Source organism: Homo sapiens, chromosome 3 (assembly GCF_000001405.40).
Source record: "Homo sapiens chromosome 3, GRCh38.p14 Primary Assembly".
Classification (NCBI taxonomy): domain Eukaryota; kingdom Metazoa; phylum Chordata; class Mammalia; order Primates; family Hominidae; genus Homo; species Homo sapiens.
This window is the reverse complement of record NC_000003.12, coordinates 152,232,212-152,258,414: the sequence shown is the minus strand read 5'-3', so window position 1 is coordinate 152,258,414 and position 26,203 is coordinate 152,232,212. Positions and strand designations below refer to the sequence as shown.

General features: G+C 34.5%; 1 protein-coding gene across 20 annotated transcripts in view, besides 2 other annotated features; it reads right to left on the bottom strand.

Annotated features, from left to right (window-relative positions):
• The window catches only part of MBNL1 (muscleblind like splicing regulator 1), a 222,149-nt gene extending 207,366 nt beyond the window's left edge, over nucleotides 1-14,783 (bottom strand). For all 20 annotated transcript variants that reach the window (NR_170697.1, NM_001376819.1, NM_001387781.1 and 17 more), the window contains exons 1-2: nucleotides 14,483-14,783; nucleotides 13,975-14,094 (exon numbers count right to left, since the gene is read on the bottom strand). The gene's annotated coding sequence lies outside the window, so the exon portion shown is untranslated. The remainder of the gene's footprint in view (nucleotides 1-13,974; nucleotides 14,095-14,482) is intronic.
• Nucleotides 14,590-14,719: an enhancer, noted in NCBI's record as "active region_20705". NCBI's record gives its function as "activates an Ori minimal core promoter by ATAC-STARR-seq in GM12878 lymphoblastoid cells {active_cell/tissue: GM12878}" and the evidence as "EXISTENCE:reporter gene assay evidence [ECO:0000049][PMID:35858748]".
• Nucleotides 14,850-14,909: an enhancer, noted in NCBI's record as "active region_20704". NCBI's record gives its function as "activates an Ori minimal core promoter by ATAC-STARR-seq in GM12878 lymphoblastoid cells {active_cell/tissue: GM12878}" and the evidence as "EXISTENCE:reporter gene assay evidence [ECO:0000049][PMID:35858748]".

Here is a 26,203-nt window from a genome sequence, read left to right as displayed (position 1 = left end):
AGACATAAAGACAGGCTTTAGAATCTGTTATTAGGCATAAGATTTTGGACAATTTTTTCCTAGTCTCAGGTTCCTGCAAACTTAAAATGTCTACCTTGTGGAATTATGATAATAAATGACTTCATGAGAATTATCCTAACATTGATCAGGCCTTTGATAAATTACAGCTATTTTCATTATTTAAAATAGTAATTAGAAATTTTAAAATACAGAATATGTTTTTTAAAAAATAAGCTCTTGTTAAGCTTCAAGTCTCTTCAAAATATGAGGATTCAAATCAAATTACAAATTTTAAGAAATATATAGCTATTTTCTACAAGATGGTATAGGTATACAGAGATACCTTTACAGTTTTTATATTAGGTAGGATGTAATTAAAAAGGAGCCCAAGATGTTTCCTGAAATGATTAACAGGAACTTTAGAAACATAACTATTGATTGGTCAGTGCACAGGTTTCTTTGGTCGAACTTTTCTCACCCACTTTACAAGCAAAAACATGAGAAAGACAAGTCAAATGAAGCCAAGCAAATGGTATCTACCACATTAACGAAGAGTATAAGATGCACAGTTGCATGAAAACCACTTCCTTTAGCACTATATTTCAAAAATTTTTTTTTACTCCGCCAGAGCTGTCGCCACAGGAAGGAAAATTTAGTTGTCTTCTTGCTTATTTAAGGAACACAAGTCAAGAGATTATTCCAGGCATTACTTCGTGTTTTTAAGCTCTTACTCCTACCTCCCTGAAAAATGTGTCTCCTGACTTCATCAGAACAAACACACTCAGAATTTTAAGAGGAGAAAATAATGATTATGTGTTGCTAAGTACTATTTTAGTAACAAATGCTTGGGCCACTAAAATTATGACATCACCCACAGAAAGAATAACATTTACACTTTTGAGAGATTTTTTTTTTTTCCTAACATGATGGGTCACCAATGAGAGGAGGAAAGCCAAATAAAGGCACAAGGAGAGGCCTCTTGGCTCTGGAGAAGGCATCCTTAGCATCCTCTTCTGAAGGGTGATCATAAGCCCCAAGTTAATTAAATAGGCCCAATGTCTGCCTGCTCTTTCTGTATTCCCTTCCTGAATCTAGTTCATGTCAACAAATGTGTACTATTATTGTAGAAAATCGAATGCTCTCATACTTTTAATAGGTTTGCTTCTTGGTTAATATGCCCAGGTCAGGAAGTGGCTTATATTTCAGGAGTGCTCTCTAATACTTATTGCAGATATTCAAGCATTTATTCTCTCACACACACGCACTTAAAAACCGCACACTACCTCACACTCTGCAATAATCCGATAGTATGGTGGTCATCATACCCACATATATACATGATAAGATAGAATGCATTGCTTAAATAGCACATAAGTCATCTATAATCCTCCACACCCTGTAATACCAGTAGCACAATGGTTTTCTATTTGGAGGTTGCCAGGAGCACTCAAAAGTAAGCTTCTGGCTCCTACAACAACACATCCAACTGCCTTGGGGACAACATGATTGTCATCCTTCTAGTACACACTCAGTCCAAGGCCAGGTAATGTTTTTTATGGGCGGCTTTTAACCTGAACCAGAAATAGAAGAATCTATACTTGTTGTTATTAACTTCTTAAGTATGAGGGAAGGCCATTTTTTCCATCATTCCTAACAAATAAATATTGAGCTTGTTTACTCAATTTAAAAAGAGTCTTTTCAGTAAGCTATTCTGTATTCTTTCTCCAAATCACAGCCCTCAACCTCCTACCCCTTAAAGGAAGCAGTGTCCAACTAACAGAGATTTAAAATGTAGTGATATGATTCATTTAGATCTCTTAGGATAATAAAAATAAATCATAGGGAATATAATTACCATGGAAAATGGCAGAGTAATTTACGTCTACTTTTAAGGGGAGCGGGTTGATGTTGCCAGGGATTGCTATCCCTAATCCCAATAGCTACTGGGATTTGGGAACAATAAACAAGGAAACATCTGTGGTCTCTGGAGGCTAAAATATAGTTGTTTCTGTAGTCTTTTCTGCTTCATCCATGCAGAAACTAGGTTGCATGATGACACCATTATCAGAAATCAGTGTACATATCTTCAAATGGCCAAGATTAGAGTCAATTATTCCATGACAATTTTTGCTGAAAACATTGAGTTTACAAATTTAAATAATACCTGAGCCCCTTTCACTTTTATCCAGGTAAACTTGGCTTATCTAAAATTCACCTAAATGTAATAATTTATCTCCTATGAAACTTTTACCTATGTAGTAATTCCTGTTTCTCTTCATACAACAGTTTTTCCAAGACTGTGTTAGCCAGAGATAATGGTCATTCATTGCATTCCCATCCCCAATTAAGACACGTGCACGTCCTTGCAAATGTTTGCTCATATGTGCAACTCCATTCCTTGGTCTGCAGTCTATGTGACTTGGCCCTTTCTCAACTCCAGCTCCTGAGCTTCATCTCCCACCATCCTTTGAGACCCAGGCTCTTTTCTACTTCTCAGATATGCCAAGCTCATTCTGGCCCTTGCGCTGGTCAATCACTCTTCCTGAACTACTCTTCCTGGAGTCGTCTGCATGGTGCTCTCAATCCTCTCACTGTTCAGGTCTTAGCTTAAATATTACCTTTTCAAATAGGCCATCTCAGGAGACCACCTACGTAAAGATGATTTTCCCATCTTCTCTTTATCCTTTTACTATGCTGGATTTTCTTCTGGTCACTATCACTATCTAGAAGTCCTTTAAAATTTTATTTCTTTACTAGTTTACTCCATTCTTTCCCCACTAGACTGAAGGCTGCTTGAGGGTAGAAACTTGATCTTGTCCGTAACTATTTCCCCAGCACCTAAAATAGTGCCCAAAGTATACTGCTTGATATATGACTTCATGAATAAACTCACTTTAAAATGAAAACAGAGCTTCTTGCAAGAGTTAAAAATCCTCTCATCACATAACCCACTTCCTGAGAAGAACCATAAAGTCAGAGCCACCAAATATCTCCTGTGGTAGCACTATAGGAGATAATGCTCAATATTAAAAAGGCTCAATATTTTAAGTTAAGGCTCAATATTAAATTAATGTAATATTAGAATATTTTTATTTCTTTGAAAATTTTCTGGACTCTTCTGAAAATTTATTATCACAACTTTTCTCCACCTAATGAAACAATTTCAATAGTTCAGCTTTAAACCAGCTACCTCCAGGGAGCCTTGTAACCATCAATACACCTGGAAGTACAGTTCTAAATTATTTTGATCTTTCATGTGGCACCTTCTATTTTTTATGCTGTGTCTTAAAATCTATTTCTTTTAATATTTACTCCACCAAATTGTAAGATTTCTGGCTTAGGACTGCATCATAATAATCTATAAATTCTTAACTGTATCTAAACCACAGATTTACCTACTTTGCTTCTCAGAAATTAAGTGGTATAGGCCATATATAAATATGATGCAGATCCAGTTTAGAGATAGACACACCAGGATCAATTGTGTGACCTTTATTAAGCTACCTACCTCTCTGAACTTCTATATTTTTCCTTAAATCTGTAAAGTGGAAATAATAGTACTTATTTCATAGGACTGATGAGGGCATTAAATTCGTTAATCATGTGAAGCACCTGACATGATGATACAAAAAAAGTTTAACACGAAATAGCAGAGCTATTATTGTTACTAACTTTGCAATTATCATCATTATCATTGGTTTTATTATTATTTAGGGCCTTATAATCTCAAAAACTTAGTTATATGTTAATACATATAACTAACCTTGATATTTTGGATGTACAAGAAAAAGAATTTTCCTAGAGTAGTTTTATAATCCATTTCAAGATCAAAAATAGAACAAGGAAGTAATTACAAAAAAATATTGAAAATAAGCATAGATGTGAGGCCAGCATAGGCAGATGGCTAATCAGGAAAGGATTCTGGAGGGAGATTACTCTTCCATGTAGTTGAGGAAAACAATGAACCCTAACTGTCAAGGAAGAGTGGGTGCATGCTTTTCTTGGGGGTGAGGGCAAGGCAGGACAAGGGCAGAGGCAATGGGGCAAGAAATGCAGAGGTGTTGCACCCCAGGATTCTAAAAAGTTAGTGGCAGTCACTATGAACTTATCTCTTTTTAGCTCAGTGGAAAATTGCCAGCACAGAAAAAAAGAGAACTTCTCTGTCTATTTGTTGTCTCCAAGGACCACTTTTTGGTCTCAGTTCGTTTGACTCAACACGGACAAAATAAACTACACCTGACATTTGCATGGCAGTTTAGAGTACTGGCCCCTTGAAGACAGTGTTGGAAGATAGTTATTTCTATTATGCTTATCAGAAATGTTGAGACCTTTTACTTAATCATTGTTTATTTACTGAGCACCTACTATGCTCCATTTATTTTACTAGAAAATGTAAAGGTAACATGAACAACAAAGGCCAAGTTTCTGCCCTCATGGAACTTACAGTCTAGTGAAAGGAACAGATAACAAATAATTGGATAAAGAAATAAAAATCAACATGTTGTGTAACATTTTATGTGCTATCAGTAAAATTAAAATGGGGTAAAATGACAGAGTGATGGGGTTGGGAATACTACAATTAAATATGTAGTGGACCACGGGAAGCATCTATTAGGAGATATGTTTGAGAAGAGACCCAAATAAAGAAGAAGTTGTGTCACACTAAGATGTGTGGGCATGCCAGGAAAAGAGAAGGGCATGTGGAAAATCCCTGAGTCAGGAATGAGCTCAGAATACTCTGGGGGGAACATGAGGAGTAGAGCCAGAATATCATGAATGAAGAGATGAAAGGATATGAGAGAAGACACAAAGACATATAAGCTTTAGTGAGGAATCTGGATTTTATCCTAATTAAAATAAGAAGCAATTGAAGAATTTTGAGCAGGAGGTCACATGATTTGATGGATATTTTAAATGATCATATTGGTAGGGATGCAAGAATAGAAAAAGAGGGTTTCTTAATAGGCTAACACAAAAACAGAGACGTCCAGACCAGAGATGACAGTGTCTTACACTTTGCTCAAGATGTGAAACAGGTGATTCTGGTCAGCATTGGAATATATTTTGGGAACAGAAGAGACAGGCATGCTGATAGATGGAGTGTAGGTGAGGAAAAGAGAGAATGAAATTAAGGATACTGTTGGCCTGGATAATGGGGGTAAGGTGGTACTATTTAGTAAACAAAGAAGACTGGTGATGGAGCAGACAGAGGGGTAGGAAATGAGGGGTTTTATGTGGGACATGTTGAATTTGAGATGCCTCTTAACATCTGAGTGTATAGCTTTAATAATCTGTGTGGAGTATGAGCCCAGAAATTGGTAGAAAGTTGAGGAGGTATGAATTTGTTTTTTATTTAGGGTTATAAGGGTGGATGTCTGGAAAGACAGGAGATGTAACTTATACAAGATCCACAGTCAGTAAGTGATAAAACGGAACATGAAAATGAATCTTTCGACACCAACCACAAATTTCTCTTCCTATTATGAATTTTAGGGTTTATTTTCAGTTATGAATACTGGAGTAGAATATAGGGAAGTACTGGGGGCAGGAATACTCTAGAATCACATATAAAAGAGTGAAAATTTTTTTAGCTCTTATAGACTATGTATATTTATGATTACTCTTGTCTTTATTTGCTTTACATAATTATTTTTTCCGTAACATGCCCATTTAACTTTTAAAAACTCTGGAATAATAAACCCATAAGGTAAGTGAACTACCAGTGTGACTACAGCTATCTACTTTCTTTTCTGAAACTGTCACTTTTTGGAATGCAAAGGAGGATAATTTGACTTCAGACTAAATGTAGATTGAAGAGATGTGAAATACAAAGATAAAAGCTCAACCCCAAACTCAAGCAGGTATTTTTGAACTGTATCAATAACATTTGAGTTAGGGTGTATCAGGTTTGTTTAGTAGAAATGTCTAAGGCAAGCAGCACTTAATCTCTACAGGTTAAAAAAAGATTTAAAGTAAATTAATTGACTCAAAAAATAAAATTAAATCAATAAAAATGTAAAGGGAAAAACCCTAAAATTGGAAACAATGAACCTAATTGTATGTAAAAGGAGTGTTGTGATCACCCTGAATGGGAAGCCAGAAAGAGAGAGGGAGGAACAAAGGGAGGGAGGGAGGGGAGGAAGGGAGGAATAAAGGGAAGGAGGAAGGGAAGGAGGGAGAAAAGAAGGAAGGAAGGAAGGAGGGAAGGAAGGAAGGAGGGAAGGAAGGAAGGAGGGAAGGAAGGAAGGAAGGAAGGAAGGAAGGAAGGAAGGAAGGAAGGTAGGTTAGTTTGTTCTAGAATGGATGGGCTCCATTGGTCAAATGTGAACAATTTAAGCACCAAAATAGTTGAGTCATGGAAAAAAGAAATTCATGAATCCATACCAGTAACAAACAGATACATAAATTAATAATTAAATAGATGTTGAAGATGGGAGTTCTTTTGCTTACAGTAGAATGGGAAAGACTAATGTAAATGTGGAGGGAGTGCTGAAGTTGTAAAGCCATCATACTGCAGCCATTATAGTAAAGATTGCATTTGACAAGAACATCAATGAATGTTAAATCTGAGAGGAAATTTTTGATGAGGAGCCATCATTATGCAATAGAGAAATCAGACAACACCTTGACTAGGCAACAAAAATGAACATTAACAATGTGGGACATAAGACCCTCATGTGCCTCTAGATACGATAGCAGGAGAGGAAACAACATCACCTATGAGGAACTCCAGCAGAAAGTGTATAACCGTAATCTAATCATGGGGAAATGTCAGAAAAATAAACAATGAGGAGCACTTTATTAAAATGAAAAAAAAGAGTGAATATGCCATAATGATTAAAATCTTCATTTTCATAAAAGACAAAGAAATGATACGGAAATGTTCCAGACAAAAGGAGACTAAAGAGACATGACATTCAAGAGATCTATTGTACAACGTAGTGACTATAATTAATAGCAATGTATTCTACTCTTAAATATTGCTAAGAGATTAGATTTTAAATGTTTTCCCCACAAAAAGGATTTGAGTAATGCATATATTAGTTCAATTGATCCATTATACATTTAGCCACCATGTATAAATGTTTTAAAACATGCGTTACACAAGAAAAATAAACAATTTTTACTTATCACTTAACAATAATACATTTTAAAAAGACAAGACAACTAAGTGTGATAATTGACTCCAGACTGGGTGATTTACTGGAGGGGAAATATTTAAAAAGACATTATTTGATAAACAGCAAAATTGGAACATGGACAAATATTAGATAAAAGTAGTGTAGCTATGTAAATCTATGAAGTAGATAATTGGATGTAACCATAATATAAGAGATTATCTCTGTTTATATGCTGGATTACATTTATTGATTTGCGTATATTGAACCAGCCTTGCATCCCAGGGATGAAGCCCACTTGATCATGGTGGATAAGCTTTTTGATGTGCTGCTGGATTCAGTTTGCGAGTATTTTATTGAGGATTTTTGCATCAATGTTCATCCAGCATATAAACAGAACCAAAGACAAAAACCACATGATTATCTCAACAGATGCAGAAAAGGCCTTTGACAAAATTCAACAACCCTTCATGCCAAAAACTCTCAATAAATTAGGTATTGATGGGACGTATCTCAAAATAATAAGAGCTATCTATGACAAACCCACAGCCAATATCATACTGAATGGGCAAAAACTGGAAGCATTCCCTTTGAAAACTGGCACAAGACAGGGATGCCCTCTCTCACCACTCCTATTCAACATAGTGTTGGAAGTTCTGGCCAGGGCAATTAGGCAGGAGAAGGAAATAAAGGGTATTCAATTAGGAAAAGAGGAAGTCAAATTGTCCCTGTTTGCAGACGACTTGATTGTATATCTAGAAAACCCCATTGTCTCAGCTCAAAATCTCCTTAAGCTGATAAGCAACTTCAGCAAAGTCTCAGGATACAAAATCAATGCACAAAAATCACAAGCATTCTTATACACCAACAACAGACAAACAGAGAGCCAAATCATGAGTGAACTCCCATTCACAATTGCTTCAAAGAGAATAAAATACTTAGGAATCCAACTTACAAGGGACGTGAAGGACCTCTTCAAGGAGAACTACAAACCACTGCTTAATGAAATAAAAGAGGATACAAACAAATGGAAGAACATTCCATGCTCATGGGTAGGAAGAATCAATATCGTGAAAATGGCCATACTGCCCAAGGTAATTTACAGATTCAATGCCATCCCCATCAAGCTACCAATGACTTTCTTCACAGAATTGGAAAAAACTACTTCAAAGTTCATATGGATCCAAAAAAGAGCCCGCATCGCCAAGTAAATCCTAAGCCAAAAGAACAAAGCTGGAGGCATCACACTACCTGACTTCAAACTATACTACAAGGCTACAGTAACCAAAACAGCATGGTACTGGTACCAAAACAGAGATATAGATCAATGGAACAGAACAGAGCCCTCAGAAATAACGCCACATATCTACAACTATCTGATCTTTGACAAACCTGAGAAAAACAAGCAATGGGGAAAGGATTCCCTATTTAATAAATGGTGCTAGGAAAACTGGCTAGCCATATGTAGAAAGCTGAAACTGGATCCCTTCCTTACACCTTATACAAAAATTAATTCAAGATGGATTAAAGACTTAACCGTTAGACCTAAAACCATAAAAACCCTAGAAGAAAACCTAGGCATTACCATTCAGGACATAGGCATGGGCAAGGACTTCATGTCTAAAACACCAAAAAGAATGGCAACAAAAGCCAAAATTGACAAATGGGATCTAATTAAACTAAAGAGCTTCTGCACAGCAAAAGAAACTACCATCAGAGTGAACAGGCAACCTACAAAATGGGAGAAAATTTTCGCAACCTACTCATCTGACAAAGGGCTAATATCCAGAATCTACAATGAACTCAAACAAATTTACAAGAAAAAAACAAACAACCCCATTAAAAAGTGGGCAAAGGATATGAACAGACACTTCTCAAAAGAAGACATTTATGCAGCCAAAAAACACATGAAAAAATGCTCATCATCACTGGCCATCAGAGAAATGCAAATCAAAACCACAATGAGATACCATCTCACACCAGTTAGAATGGAGATCATTAAAAAGTCAGGAAACAACAGGTGCTGGAGAGGATGTGGAGAAATAGGAACACTTTTACACTGTTGGTGGGACTGTAAACTAGTTCAACCATTGTGGAAGTCAGTGTGGCGATTCCTCAGGGATCTAGAACTAGAAATACCATTTGACCCAGCCATCCCATTACTGGGTATATACCCAAAGGACTATAAATCATGCTGCTATAAAGACACATGCACACGTATGTTTATTGTGGCACTATTCACAATAGCAAAAACTTAGAACCAACCCAAATGTCCAACAATGATAGACTAGATTAAGAAAATGTGGCACATATACACCATGGAATACTATGCAGCCATAAAAAATGATGAGTTCATGTCCTTTGCAGGGACATGGATGAAATTGGAAATCATCATTCTCAGTAAACTATCGCAAGAACAAAAAACCAAACACTGCATGTTCTCACTCATAGATGGGAATTGAACAATGAGAACACATGGACACAGGAAGGGGAACATCACACTCTGGGGACTGTTGTGGGGTGGGGGAAGGGGGGAGGGATAGCATTAGGAGATATACCTAATGCTAAATGATGAGTTAATGGGTGCAGCAAACCAGCATGGCACATGTATACATATGTACCTAACCTGCACATTGTGCACATGTACCCTAAAACTTGAAGTATAATAATAATTTTTTAAAAAATTTTATTTGAAAAAAAAATAAGAGATTATCTCTATTCTTGGAAAATTCAGACTGAAAGCCCTTGTTATGTGTGACTTACTCTTAAGTTGTTCAGAAAAAAATTATGACCATAGAAAAATATAAAGAAAAAAATGAGAGCACATTATAAAGCAAATGGGATAAAATATTTAAGCAAATCTAGGTAAAGATATAAGGGGTTCATTATACTTTTTTATTTTTACAACTTATATGAGCTTCCAATTATTTCTAAATAAGATGTTTTAAAGTAGGTGAAGTGTAACAAGAGTTTCTGGTGAGCATTTAAGAAAACTCACTGCCATCAGATATATGATTGTATTTTATTCAGAAGGCCGCCTAATTGCATAGAAAATGTTTTTGCTGCTCCTCCAATTCAGCTATATTCACCCACATAGAACGAGAATAAAAGCAACCTACTTAAAATTTTTTCTTGTGCAAAAGAAAATAGATTGAATTAAGGTACACTTTTAAAAATTTTACTTATTTTTTCAAAATCAAAACTGTGGTGATTTTTCTCAAAATCATATTGCAATTTATTTTTTCCCAAGGTGAGAAAAATTTTGAGAATGTGATAACCACTACATATTAAAAAAAAACTAAAGGCTCATGATGAAATATCTGTAAAGTAGAATAATAATGAGGTATGAAATTTTATACTGGTTCATGGAGCAACACCAATAGACTAACTTCATTCTTCATCTGCTTTCCAAGGTTGCAATATTAATGAATGATTCTAATGACATTTTTATTTAAATTTGGATTTAAATATGCAAATCTGGTATTTTCCCCCATAATATTAAAAGCAAAAAAATTAAATAAAAAGTTAAAACCTATATTTAGAAAATGTATATAAAGATAAAAATAAAACTGGAAGGAATTTTAAAAACATTAAATCTAAGTGCCTAATTTTAGTTAATAAAAAATGATAAAAAGCATCAATGATGTCAGACAAATAACAGAACTATACTAATTCTCAAATAACAAGTTATATTTTAAAGATTAAAAATTAATGAACAGTGGTTTTATTTTCTACAATGCAGATATGTAAATTAGATTCCATTTCATTTATTTTTTTAAATGGAAGTATTCAGAAATATAAAATGGCTTACCCTTATTCTTTATATCTGTAAAAGGTATTTTCTTTTCATGTATCATGAAAATGATACATATTTTATCATACAGAGCTCATGTACTGTCATAGCTCATATTTTTGCAATCATAATAATTTCTTATTTATTTAGCATATTTTAATTATATGTGAATATGCAAATATAGCAATCATTTGGAATTTACATTTATTAAAAATAAATAGAAAGTCAACAAACACAGGAGGGCACAAATTTTCTTTTAAATGGCTGAAAGACCCACATTATCTGGGATACAAAGATTTTTGTTTTTCAATAACAGGTCATGTCTCTGAGTTTGCACCCAAACTGTAATCTTTCTTTCAGGCAACAAACTTTCTTCTCTTTATTCTTGCAAATGGGAAAATGGCCAAAAGAAGAGGAAACAAAACAGCTAAACAAAAACTAAATCTTTCAATGTTCTTTTGGAAGTTCAGTAATTTATGTCAAAAACAAATAGCACTGTTATTCCTAAATGTAATTATTATTTGAAAAATAATATACGTTTATTTGTTGGAGTGGGATAGAGCCCTCTATAAGCAGATCATTCTTTTCTATTTCTATAGATGAGCAACTTTGGGAAGGTCATCTTGTGAAGGAGGAGGAGAACATCCATTTAACTGTGAGATTAGCAGCATCAACCCTGGACCCAATAGTTTAATAGACCCCCAAGAAGATCATCCACTTCACACAATCAAACTATGCCTTATTAAGACAGAGACCAAATTTTACAATACTATACACAGCAGTCATCCAGTCTCAATTTTTATTAGATTCAATGAAAACTTCTTAGACAATCATGTCACATAAACATAATCTACTAAAACACAGTAAAATATATACTACAGCTCAGAAGCCAAAATTAAATTTTCCAGTAATAAATTATTTATCATATTTATGATGAATAAACAATAATATTAAATAATTAATATTAAATATTTGTTAATATTTATTTACCATTAATATTATCATGGAAACTCAGATGAGCACTCATTTTTTTCTTATGTAAAGACAATTTTATCAAAGAGAGAACAACTTAAAAACTTATTTTCCATAATCTAGAACTAGGATGTTCATTCAGACTTTACTAATTATTGACAACAACAACAACAACAACAAATCTGTCTTGCCAGAAAGATAGTATCTTCTCTGCTGCTTTAGCCTTCATTTGCTGTTCTGAATTACACTTATGACCAATTTATATTGTAATCTCCTTGGGCTATGTTTCCTTGTGATTGTTAGCCATTATTTAGTATATTACCATACTACATATAACACTTAATAGCTCATGATATCAAAATATCTCATAGTTAAAATTGTGGACATTTGAACTTCTGATGGAAGTAGTTGTGTTTATTTTTAAGGTTTCTTTATTTTTATATTTTTAGAGACAGAATCTGGCTCTGTCACTTAGGCTGGAGTGTAGTGGTGCAATCACAGCTCACTGCAGCCTTGATCTTCTGACTTAAGCCATTCTCTTGCCTCAGCCTCCAAAGTAGCTGGGACTACAGGCTTGAGCCCCTAGACCTGACAAGCAGTTGTGTTTAATTAGTGTGTGATAAAGATGAAGAAGCACAATTGTAACGGATTTCTAACAACCATCAACTTAATTTTAAAATTTTCATCGAGTTAAGTATGTCAAATTTGATTCAACAATTCACATCTGAGTTTGTAACAGTAACACTCTGCTTTCCTTCTCCCTATAATAAGAAGACAGCAACTATTGGTGCAACTTATTGGTGTAGTGCATGAAAATACGTAAAACAAACCAACAAAAAACCAACTAGGTACTAGGTAACATACTAGAACCAGTAATAACAGCACCATTTACCAAAATTTATCAAAAATTAAATCTATTAATTGATGGGATAGTGTGGACTTTCTTTTTTGGAAGCCATGAGATTAGTCTAATTTTTTCAAACCAAATTAAGAAAGCTTCAAATACATCTTGGGATATTTATACTTACCAAATCTCACACGGTAAATGTGTGATGTATGAAACTTTCTCAAAAGGATTCAATTATGAAAATGCTCAGAGGCAAACTCTTCAAACCTCCATATGTATATATAGCCAGAGTAGTTCACTTAAACAGATTTTTCTTCTCAAAGCTGTATTAAACACTCCTTAATGTTTTTACCAAAGTATAAAGAAACCAACAGCTTTTAAAAGGAAGATTTAAAAATTGCTATATTATGAATACAATTGTATTAAATACAGTTAATATGTGTAGGTATTATTCTGGATTAGTGCAAATTTGAATAAAAGTTTCTAGGATCTAGATTATTTTAGAATTTCACTAATAAGATCAGTTTCAGTTTAGTTTGATTTCCAATTATCAAACCAAATGTCTTACTTTGTTTTCATTCTTACTATATTTTAAGCATTATAAATACAAATTAAACTTATTTAGAAAACAATACATTTTAAAAATTAGATTTGCATATTTCATTTAAAATTTTAAGTCATGCTGTCTACACTACAAATTAATTTTTCTAAACAAATATCATCATAAAGTGATGATATAAAAATAATACTGAAATGTCATATTTTAAATGATACAATATATTTTCACGGTGGGTAAAAACAAATGTAAGAATGCTTTTTTTTCTGGAAAGTGCTCAACTAATAATATGCAAAATGAACAAAAGTATATCTGTGAGAGAATATTAGAAATAATCTAGAGCTGGGAAAGAAGAAAAGTTATCAAATTTGTTAATAATCCAAATGCCTCTTCAGCACTAAATTGTGTGCAAAATTACAAATACACAAGAAAGATAACGTTTTATTTTGCAGGTAAAATAATTTGGAGATCAATGAAAACTTTAAATTTTTCCAGGTTTTTAAAAGCTTGTATGTGAAGCTGAAGCTTTGTAAATGTATTAAACTTTTTATTTAAAATGTCGGTTACTTACTTGAAAGAGTTATCAGGTTTATCTAATCTACACTGTAATGTGGCCAGCATTTAAATTGTTGCTATATAAATAGCAATCCAAATAATAAAATGAAAAATAGCAAATAATTGTTCTTACCTCTATGCTTAGTTATAGTTGCTTGTTAAGCTGCTTCATGGGTTGAGACAAACTACCAGCACTTCAAAGAGCTCAGTTCTCTGCTCAACTCTCTTCTCTAGTTACATTATTTTTTTTCCTCTGCAAAAGGATAGTCCACCAAAAGAGGAAGTTATGAAATAACAGTCATTATGCTTTATCCATTTTATGGGGCATGGAAAATTATTCATAAAGCTTACACTTGAAATCACAGCAACAGGCTATAATTGGTGCCTGTACACATATATAATTAAAGTATATGCATGTTTATATGTGTAAGCAAATTTTAGAAAAGTTAAGCTATTGAAACCTATAGTTGGCCTGGCACGGTGGCTGACGCCTGTAATCCCAGCACTTTGGGAGGCTGAAGCGGGCAGATTACCTGAGGTCAGGAGTTCAAGACCAGCCTGGCCAACATAGTGAAACTCCGTCTCTACTAAAAATACAAAAGTTAGCCTGGCATGGTGGCAGGCGTCTGAATCCCACTTACTCAGGAGACTGAGGCAGGAGAATCGCTTGAACTCAGGAGGCGGAGGTTGCAGTGAGCTGAGATCGCGGCCATTGCTTTCCAGGCTGGGAGACACAGTGAGACTCCATTTCAAAAAAGAAAAGAAAAGAAAAGAAACCTATACTTGATTAAGTAGTGCTCGTTTACATAAGGAAGCATCTCCTGTGTGGCTCAATGATCACAGAAAACATTGCTCTATGCAGAAGAAAACTGTCCAGCTGATATATGGGAATTAACTTGCTTTTACAAGTCTAATTAATTTAAAGTCTTTGAAGTATGACACAAATGCTAATCTGACTACAGGCATCTTATTAAAGGAAGAAAAAAAAAAAACCTCCAGTAAACAGACATTTTCCTGGAATTTGGGTAGCGGTTTTTTACCTACAAGTCTCAAACTTCCTTTCTCATGAATAGTTGCCTGTTACATATAGATAAAGCACTGCAAAACTGAAACTGTTACTTACACATGAACTATGGTCTTTCACTACTTCAGCCACAAGAGTAAAAAACAGGTGCAGAGGTGCAGATCCTGCAAAACTGAACATTTAGCTGGCTAAGTTTCTTACAGGTTGGAGTAGTAAATGAGAATATTTAAAGGACAGTAGGGACAATGGTTGAAAAAAGACATAAAAAAGTTGATCAAAGCAAGTACTACTGCCAAATTCAAATAAAAGGATATATACAAATATATTTATCATGGGTTTAGGTTGCCAGATAATAGAAGCCAATGTGTAGCTTCATTTTTTATGTGTGGCAGTTGCTCCCAAACTCCCTTGCTCATTGGGGAAGAAGGAGATGGATTGCAAGAGCAATACAGTAATTATGCAAACCTCCACATGTTGCAAGAACCACTTTCTGGACTTTAGAAGCTATCATGCTGTCACTGCACCACACTCTTTGCTTTTTATTTAACCTTATGTCCAAAGAGGCATTAAAGAGTACTTAGACTGGGCACAGTGGCTCACGCCTGTAATCCCAGCACTTTGGGAGGCCGAGGTGGGTGGATCACTTGAGGTCAGGAGTTCGAGATCAGCCTGGCCAACATGGTGAAACCCCATCTCTACTAAAAAAAATACAAAAATTAGCCAGGCACTTTGGCAGGCCCCTGTAATCCCAGCTACTCAGGAGGCTGAGGCAGGAGAATCCCTTGAACCTGAGAGGCAGAGTTTGCAGTGAGCCGGGATCCTGCCACTGCACTCCAGCCTCGGCCATAGGGTGAGACTCCGTCTCAAAAACAAACAAACAGAGTAATTAGGAGATGATTAGAAGCTGAAATATTTTCCATTTCACCTAAACTCATACTTAATGTGAGTTTGCAGGAAGTTAAATAAACCAAATGCAGAAAGCTGTCCCCTCCATAAAACGCACAAAAAACAAAAACAAATAAACGAACAAAACCCCAGTATGTCATTGATATCAAATTTTATTTGAATTCCTTTGTGAACTACTTATAAGGAAATCCCTACAGAGAAGTTGTCAATGTGATTAAAATTGCTTAGATTCTATGTGTTTAGACAAATTTTAAATATTATTGTATTTGGGTATCATTATATAAAACACTAGGCTTATCAGTCCCCAAAGACCCAGTCACACTCTGGAAGCATAGTCCTCAATGTCTGCTGTAATTTTAATGTATTTCCTCAATATTTGTGTACCTTTTGCCTGAATAGTGGATGTATATCTCTACTTCTCTTCTTCTCTAATGATCCCTTCCAGGCTGATAAATATGCTCAAGTTTCTTCCCTATTAAAAATTCCTCCTCTGACTGACTTGTCATATTACTTTCTTTTTCTTCATCAGAACTTTTTGAGAAAGTTGCCCACATTGACTTGAGCCCTTATATCTTTTTTGTATGTGTGTATGGTAGAATATATTTAACAAAATTTACCATTTGAACCATTTTTAAATGTACAGTTCAGAGGCATTAAGTACATTCACACTGTTAGGCAACCATCACCACCATCTATCTCCAGAACTTTCTCATTCTTCTAGACTGAAACTCTGTACCTATTAAACAATAACTGAACGTTCCTTCCTGCCCTCAACCTGGCAACCACCATTCTACTTTCTATCTCTATGAATGTGATTACTCTAGGTACTTCATATGAATGGAACCATATGACATTTGTCCATTTGTGTCTGGCTTATTTCACTTAGGTTCATCAAAGTTGCAGCATGTGTCAGAATTTCCTTCCTTCTTAAAGCTGAATAATATTCTATTGTATGTATATACCACATTTGTTTCCTATTTATCAGATGATGGACACTTGAGTTGTTGCTATCTTTGGCTATTGAGAATAATGCTGCTATAAACATGGGTGTGCAAATATCTGTTTGAATCTTTGCTTTCATTTTTTTTGTATATACACCCAGAAGTGGAATTGAATCATACTGTAATTTTATACTTTTTGAGGACCCACCATACTAAGTCCACCTATCTTTCTCACATTTCTTCCTCCTGCATGGGTTTCTGCTTCCTCCTATTTATCAAGACTCTTGCCAAAATCACCAGTGATCTCCCTGTTACCAAATCCAAAATCCAAAAGCCCTCTTACTTGACCTGTTTTCAGCACATGCCAATGTTGACCACTTCCTCCTCCAGGAAATGTTATCTGTCTTTCAGCTCTTGACTTCACTCTCACCTTCTGATTATGTGGCAACTTCTCTGATTTATTTATGAGTCTTTAAACTCTGCTCCTCTAGTAAATGTTGCCACTTCTCAGGATTCTGTCCTGGGCTTGCTCTCCTTACCCGACAATCTCACTATCCTTGCATGGTTTTAACTGGCAAATACTGATTGCTCCCAAATCTCTGTTTCCAACCCAGTTATCTCCCTAGAAAAGTTTTCACCAATGCAAAATATAAAATCATTTCTACTTGCAATGTACAGAAAAGAGTCTGCATAGAGGCCCTAAGATAAGCCTCAATTAATTTTTCAATTCTACTATTGTTTAAACTTCAGCAGGTCAGGCAACATTTTTGAGCCCTATTTCCTCACCTGTAAATGGGGCCTTAAATGACCACCTAATACGGTTACTGGAAGTATAAAACAAAGACTACTTAAACACTTTCTTATGTTTATAGTATTAAAAATACAGTTAAAGCAAAAGTCCATTTTAATTCCCTCTAACATGATTCTTCTCCCTAGAAATAAGTAATACTATCAGTTTGATGTGTATACTTGCTTAACTATTTCCTGTATAATTACCTGTAAGACACATAAGGAGTTAAATAATTTTGTGGGGTTTTAATGTAAATAACATCACACTGTATGTTCTTCACTGGGACTTTTAAAAAGCTTAATATGGCTTGAAGGTATCCCAAGACATACTTTTGAACTGATTCATATATATCTAATTCCCTCACTGATTGAATTTGTGTTACTCTTCACAGCTAAAAATAATGTGATCAGTTGAGCATTTTAAATATCTCTCTAAAAGTAGTACAAGTCTTTATGTGAGGTAGATACAGGAAAGTAGAATTGTTAGGTCAGAAGGCATATACATTTAAAATGTTAATTGTCACTGCCAAATGGCCCAGTCAAAAAAGGTTTAATCTCCAACATTTCCTGTTTTTTTATGCGATTGCCAGTATTTGCTTTAATTAAACTTTTAAAGATTTGCCAATCTGATGGACAAGAAAATGGAGTCTTAATATTTTTATTTTGCTTTTCCCTGATTACTGTGGATATTGAACACATATTAATGTTGTATCCTCCTTTACAATTCCAGTTTTGTGAACTACCTGTTAATTCATTCCAAACTTTTCTTTTTATTTTATCTCATTATTATTTTTTTTACCTGATCACCTACTACCAGGACCAAACATTTCTTTATTGCATAATTGTCAGCTTTTTATTGATATGTAGGATTATAAGTACATTCTGTTTGAATGCATTGCAATAATTTTTCTTTTTTGGTGATGGTCCATTCTCCCCATCCTCCATTTTAGGGCTTTTCATGCTGGCTATGGTAACCTCTTGAGATGACCCTAATATTCTCTGATAATGTCTTTGATTTCTGGCACAAGATAGCCAGGTTCATTTTGTGTATTTCTTGCCCCAGAACTGAAATCACCCATTTCTCTAAAGAACCTTCGTTGCTTTTGGTAGACAGGGATTTTTGAGATCACCATCTAAACCTTAGTAGTGCTTATTGCTATTGAGTTATTACTAGCATTTGGAATAAACTCAGTCAACACATTGTTAGTTTCTTCTATGTGCCAAGCAGTACATAATTGCAAGAAAAAATACATTTAAACATGTGTTAGGAGTTTATAATATATATGAACATGTTACATCATATATTGCATTAAAAATAGTTTATGATTAATATATCTAATACACAAAAATACCTTCTTTTTAAATACAATTCGGGCACTATTTTCTTATGAAAGGATATTTTGATAAAGGTAACAATATAGTAATAATCACATTTTGCATTTAGAACTTTCAAAATACCCTTCCAAAGAAATTTCAAAAACCATGCAGATTAGAAAAATATTAAAGTTTTCGTATTTCCCATTATTTTCATTTGCATTTACCATTTTAATCCTAAATCGGCTTTCTTCTTCTTTTTCTTCTTTTTTTGTAAATTTTGCTATTATGCGCCTATCACATAGAAGAAAATAAGCATCTGTGCATATGTCCCTGGAAACAGATTTCAAGTAAAATAAAATAAATATATTTATGGTTTTAACCACTATTTCTTTCTCAAGGTATATTTTCATGGCCACTTTAAAACTACTGAAGTAGCAATATTTCAACTGCTCTTTTCATAGCTCAGTGGTGACAGAAATATTTCTGGTTCACTGATTTTGTTTTTTACTTATTAAGAGAATGGCTTAAATATTTTAACATTCTTTAACATAAATAAATAAATATTTATGTTAACATTTATATTTATATTTATCTTAACATAAATTTAAATATTTAAATTCTTTAACATGCAGTTAAAGAATTGAAGAGGATAGCATAGTCTGATTATTTTCAAGTATCTCTGACCCTTAGTTTCCTTACATATAAAAGTGGATGATAATACTAACTCCACTGGGGTACTGTGAGGATTAATTGAATATCATAGGTACAGGGCCAAGAAGACCGTGTTTCCTGAGAACGATGGTGATGAGCATTTTCAAACCTAATTTGTGAATGAATAGTTGGACAAAAATATTCTTCTAATTTTTGAATATATTTATTTGAAAACATAGCAAAGGTTAACAAATCACATCTAGTTGTACATTTATATTACATTGATTGTGTTTACTAAGAAAAATGAACTTTAAAAAACTAGGAATATAGGAGATTTATGGAGAGTCATTCATTCAATACTTTGTATCTGCTATATGTAGGGAGTTATGATAGGGACTGGGAATACAAATAAATTCCAGCTAACTTTGGCTAATGGATGGATCAGCATGATATAGAGAAGAGAGAATTTGGAGTGCTTATTTGTATCTCCTTTATGCTGCCAGGGCATGGTTTTGGAAGTGTCTGTATCCCTCCACCTACAGCCACAGCTACTCTCTGTCTTTCTCAGTCTCAGCTATTAGCTATTACTAGGTTCCAATATCATGATTCTTCCTTGCCTTTCAGGTCTAGGGGTGGTAATCCAATTAGCAATTTCCACCATTGCTCATCTCTGCCATACCTCATTTACTACTAATCATGGCAACACCTCTAAATACTCCCTTCATTAAACTATATGAAATCGATCATTTAAAATATACCACTTCAAGCAGACATTGCTCAAGATTTACATTAGCCCTCGCTGGGCACAGTGGTGTGTACCTGTAGTCCTAGCTACTCGGGAAGCTGAAGCAGGGGGATCACTTGAACCCAGGAGTTCAGGTCCAGCCTGAGCAAGAAAGCAAGGTTCTAAAGGGGGAAAAGCAAGGTTAAAAAAAATATACATTAGTCCCGTCATACAATTAAATTATACACTTGAATTGGAAACTGATCTGCTAGAAGGTGTACCGTTTCAGGGGAAACGCAAAGGAGAGTTACAGAACATGTCCTAGGCTAGCCAAATCAAGAATTGGCTCAGAAAGTGTAATGATTGAATTGACACTTGAGGATGAGTAGGACTTCATGGGTGTTTGAAAGGGGAGGGGACAAATTGGAAAAGGCATGAAAGTCAGAGAAACAGAATCATATTCACGGAGCTACATGTAGTATCCTATTTGGGAGGCATAAACTGGAAGGGTTGGGAATGGGGTGGTGAAGGAGCACAACAGATGAAGCCAGAGAGAAAGGGGCTTCAGAAAATGGAGGGTGTTGTAAGGAACAGTGTCTTTTTTTTTTTTTTTTTTTTTTTTGAGATTGAGTTTCACTCTTGTAGCCTAGGCTAGAGTGCAATGGCGCGACCTTGGCTAACTGCAACCTCCACCTCCTGGGTTCAAGCGATCTTCCTGCCTCAGCCTCCCGAGTAGCTGGGATTACAGGCGCCCACCACCACGCCTGGTTAATTTTTGTATTTTAGTAGAGATGGGGTTTCATTATGTTGACCAGGCGTCTTATATGTCTTCCGAAGAAGAAGAAGAAAAAACTTCTAGTGTGAACAATCAGCTTTTTTGGGTGTCTGTGTTTTTTCCTACCCATTAATGATTCTCTTTCTTCTGGTGACAAGTTGTCACGATTTTCCTCTGAGGAACAGGCCCTTCTTTGGTATCACTGCATGTGAGGTGAGTGGCATCAATTTCCTCCTACACCAACATTGGTGTAAGCATATGACCAATGTCTGGGAAATAAGTTTAATTGTTTTCCTTTGACACAGTGATTGGTTCAAAGAGGAGCGTGTAATTCAAGCCAGCCAATAAGACTTACTTATGGAAATTTTAAGTTCTGCTTTTGCTGGGATTGGCTAGCTGTAAGAATTATATAAGCCTAAAACTGGGGACTACTGTGAGGAGAAAACCAGTAAAAGAATGAAGCCAACAGAGAGGAAAGCAGACCTGAGGGAAAGTGAGAAGAGGAAGAGGGTTCTGATGACATCATCAGAGTCTGTGACTCCAACTATGCCTGAATCCCTCTTCAGCTTGTTTTCATTAACTAAGCCAATAAATTCTTTCTTTTTTCTATAACCAGTTTGAATTAAACTTCTGTCACTTGCAACCAAAAGTCTTTTATAACAGGGAGGAAATCTGGAGGAAAGGGAATGTTTTATTTGAAGTGTAGAATGTCAAGAAAAGCAGGCTTTTTTATTGTCCTTAGACTAGCATTGTCTAAGAAAAACATAATGCAAACCATATGTATCATTAAAAATATTGTAGTCTCTACCTTAAAGAGAAAGAGGTGAAATAAATTTTAATAAAATATTTTATTTAACCCAATATATAAACAATGTTATCATTCAAATATGCAGCAATATAGAAAATCAGTTTCCCTTTTTAAATTTAAATTTAATTGATTAAAATTAAATATAATTAAAAATTCAGTTCTCAGTGGCATGATCATTGCTCACTGTAGCCTCAACCTCTCAGGCTCAAGCAATCCTCTTGCCTCTGCCTCCCAAGTAGCTGGGACTACAAGCATGCAACATCATGCCAGGCTTATTTATTTATTTGTTTATTTATTTGTTGAGATAGGGGTCTCACTATGTTGCTCAGGCTGGATATTTGATATTTTTTGAACAAAGAAATAATGGAAGCAAAACAATGCTTTTATAAAAATAATCTGACAGCTCCAGTATCTTTAAATCTTTCCTGATATCCCAGTCAAATTAATGCCTTTCTCTATAATCCTCTCACGTGGGGTCATAAGGACACATGCCAGGTTCTTCAGGGTCAGAAATGCTTAGTCATTTAGAATGCAGCAGCCATAGAAATAACTCATGCAGAGCAGGATTCTCTCAAGACCTAGCTCACCCATTCTTTTGTCCCTGATAGGATTTGGAACATCCCCATAGCATGAAGTGGCATTGGCTTTCTGATTTCTGCTTCTAGATCATCAGGGACAGTAGAAGACTGGAGTCAAATGTAAGATGCATGAATGATTAATAATACTCTTTCAAATGTATTCATTAACTAAAAGACCAATCCTGGTTTGAGACATGTTCAAACAGGAACACAAAGTCTTAGAATCAGGAAAATATACTATCTACTCTCTGCTCCAAAGGAGGAAAGTATGCTTCATTTTGTTGTTGTCTCAACTCAGTTCTTTGGCATATTAGGTACTGAAAAAAAAATTGTTTAATGTAACTAGTGAATTATAAAATACAAATAATAGTCTTTCTAATCTTCTTGGATAAATAATATAAAATAGAATTCTTTAAAAATAGTCTTCCATTTTTAATCTATTTAACATCTTTTAATAACTTTTTAAATTAAAATTTTCTGATCAACACTCCATTTTCTTTCTATTTTTTTATAAATGTGAAATTATTTAAAGATATAATACTTCTTACCTGGGACATTCATTACAATTTTAATCAAATGATATTGTAAGTTCCAAGAGTCTTCATGTCCTAGCAAATGGATTACATAAACAAAAAACTTTTTTTGTGAGAAACACCCTTTTCTGTAAGAACATTTCAAATTCCTGAGCAGAGGCATTTTATATAGTTAGGTAAACATTTTTTTGTTTCTGCCAAGTGGATGAGGGCTATGTTTATTATTTCTATAGTGAAACAAAAAAAGGATATGTTTTCCTTCAACAGCATGAAACCAGTACAAGAGAAGAATATGTTTCTAAATGGGGGGCAGGTCAGAAAAAAGTCCCAAGAGGGAAGTTGCTGGGTACTGGCTATGTCTAGCCATGGAGAAGGTAATGCAACAGCCATCAGTGGTGGCCTCAGCAAATGAGATAGTTGCAGCCACTTTTATAACAAGGGCGCCAGGGAACAATGGAGCAATTAGTGTTGGGAGGTCTCATAAAATGATACATTGGCTTCATTTATTTGCTTTTTCTTTGTAGTTATGATGAGATACGTATTTGAAAATGTGGAATCCACAGTTTGTGGAACTGTTAATCATCAATAAGAGAAGTGGTATTTCTTAGGAAGAATTTAATCTCTGGTTTTTGGAGGTAGTGGTCTGTATCAATAGAAATAACTCTTTTTGACATTGAAGACTAGTTCTGACAGTTGATGGCAAGTATAGATACCCATGTGGTCACTACAGACTGAGCCCTCGATAATCATACTGAAGAGCTTTTCAAGGTACTGTTTTATAATAAAACATTTAGAAATTGGACCTTAATGTATCTGTTCTTCCCAAAAGCCAACTACCAGCAGTTACATAGCTTTTAGAAAGCTTCACATGTTCACAGTGACTAAAAACTCACAAAAATATCAAAGCTCAAATACTTGGCACACACTAGGGAAACTAAGACCTTATTTTGTGTTCTTAAGTAAATCAGTAGTTTTAAAGGTTTCTTGAAGGTCAGGACATGATAAACTTTTGCTTTTTGAAAATACTTTTTCTGGAGATATACATACACAAATATATGTGTGTGTGTGTATATATATATATATATACGTACACTATAGATATAGTTTTTTGGTGGATGGGAGTTGTAGAAGCAATATATGATCATCATAAAAGTTTAGAAAATAAAAAAACTGTGAGAAGGAAAATAAAAATCATTCTTTATTACAATCAGCTGGGGATTATTACTATTCAATTTTGATGTACATCCTTCCAGATTCACATGTAGGTGTATATAAACGCATCACATAACAATAATGGACCACATATACAATGGTGTTCCGGTGAGATTAAAATACTGTATTTTCACTGTACCTTTTCCATGTTTACACATATTTAGATACACAAATGTTTAGCTCATGTTACAATTGCCTACAGTATCCAGTACAGTAACATGCTGTACAAGTTTGTAGCCTAGGAGCAATAGGTTATACCGTATAGCCTAAGTGTGTAGTAGGCTATACTGTCTAGGTTTGTGTAAGTACACTCTCTGATGCTCACACAAGACAAAACATCTAACAATGCATTTCTCAGATGGTATCTCCACCATTAAAAGATGCATGACTATATCTTTCTATTATCTATCTTCTGTAGATACAGATTAGAGAGAGATTATTTTTCAAAAGTAGGATTACATAAAAATACAACAAAATCCTATATAACCACCTTTCTATTTCTATTACTTACAGACAGGAAATATGCTAATGACAAAGCTACTATATTTTAGTGACATATAAAATTATTATTCACAGCATCACTTGCATATTTTTGAACAACAGTTACACATATCCTTTGAAAACTTACATAGCCAGGCTACTGAATGATTTGGATGTATGATTTGAAGAACTTTTGTGAAAACTGTGACCTGCAAATGTAAACTACTGATTTAAATCTTTTAGCAGCAAGCTATGCTTGTGGCTATGCTGATTGCTCCACGTTCAAAGCAATTTCTACTGCTATAGTTTCTATAATTATCAACAAAAACACGCAAAATATTTGCTCCAAACCAGAATAGGCCACAACTTGCAAGAAACAAGCTTGGAAATCAGTAATTATGTGACTTCAGGAGGTATGTATTAGTGGTTCTTATACTAAAAGTGAGTGAAATGCATCAGTAATTTCTTTCCATAAAACCTGGGAAAGTTTCTAAAAAGGGATAAGATCTGGAGGAGGTCATTAGGGAAGGAGCTATAGTACTTAAGAAAGTTAGTTTGGAAAATGAAGATTTCAGGGAGATACATAATCAAAATCTCAGACAAATATCCAGTGAACATGGTACTGAGAATCATCAAGAAATCAAAACTCACTAAGGAATTGATGTCAGAAGCTGCAGAATATTTAGAAAATGACCAGCTTGTTTTTAATTTGGAAACAAAATTCTAAATAGAGTTAAGTTCAGAAAGTGATATAACTAACATCTCAGAATGAAAAATCATTAACTCTTGGGTACATCATCATTCAGTATTTTATTCCTTATATAGTTTATTTACAAAACCAAACCTTGAAGTGCAAGAAGAGAGGTGGTTGCACTGGGAATATTATAAAAGGGACTGGAAAGGGAAAACACCTTTGTGAGAATAAGTAATATGCAATGCAAATGATACATACTCAACTTTTAGAATAAGTGACTCATTGGAATTATTTAAAATGGCAGAGACTCATCAAAGAGGAGACGTTAACTATGACATGATTTAACATGTTCTAAGTAATTTGGTCTCCACAGTCATTTGATTACAACTCTTCAACTAATTAATTTGAGAAATACAGACAGACTCCAAGTTTTTTTGGGATGCGATCCAAAAGTTTATTTGCATGTTAGTTGTTTGAATTTGCTCTCTCATAATTGTAAGGTTATATGATGTTGTTAACTTTCCTGACAGGTTCATAAAAGCCTACTTAACAAATAAAACAGCAGCCATGATTATTATGTCTTTTAAAAACCCTCAAAGATCAAACATAGTAAGCAATGATTGTTTTCTCATTTTTTTGTTAAATTATTTTAAAAATTTTGTGGGTATACAGTAGGTATATATATTTATGGGTTATATGAGATGTTTTGATACAAACATGCAATGTGAAATAAGCACACAGTGGAGAATGGGGTATGTATCTTCTCAAGCATTTATCCTATGAGTTACAAACAATCCAATTACACTCTTTAAGTTATTTTAAAATGTACAATTAAGTTATTATTGACTACAGTAACCCTATTGTGGTATCAAACAGCAGGTCTTATTCATTCTTTCTATTTTTTTGGTACCCATTAACCATCCCCACTTC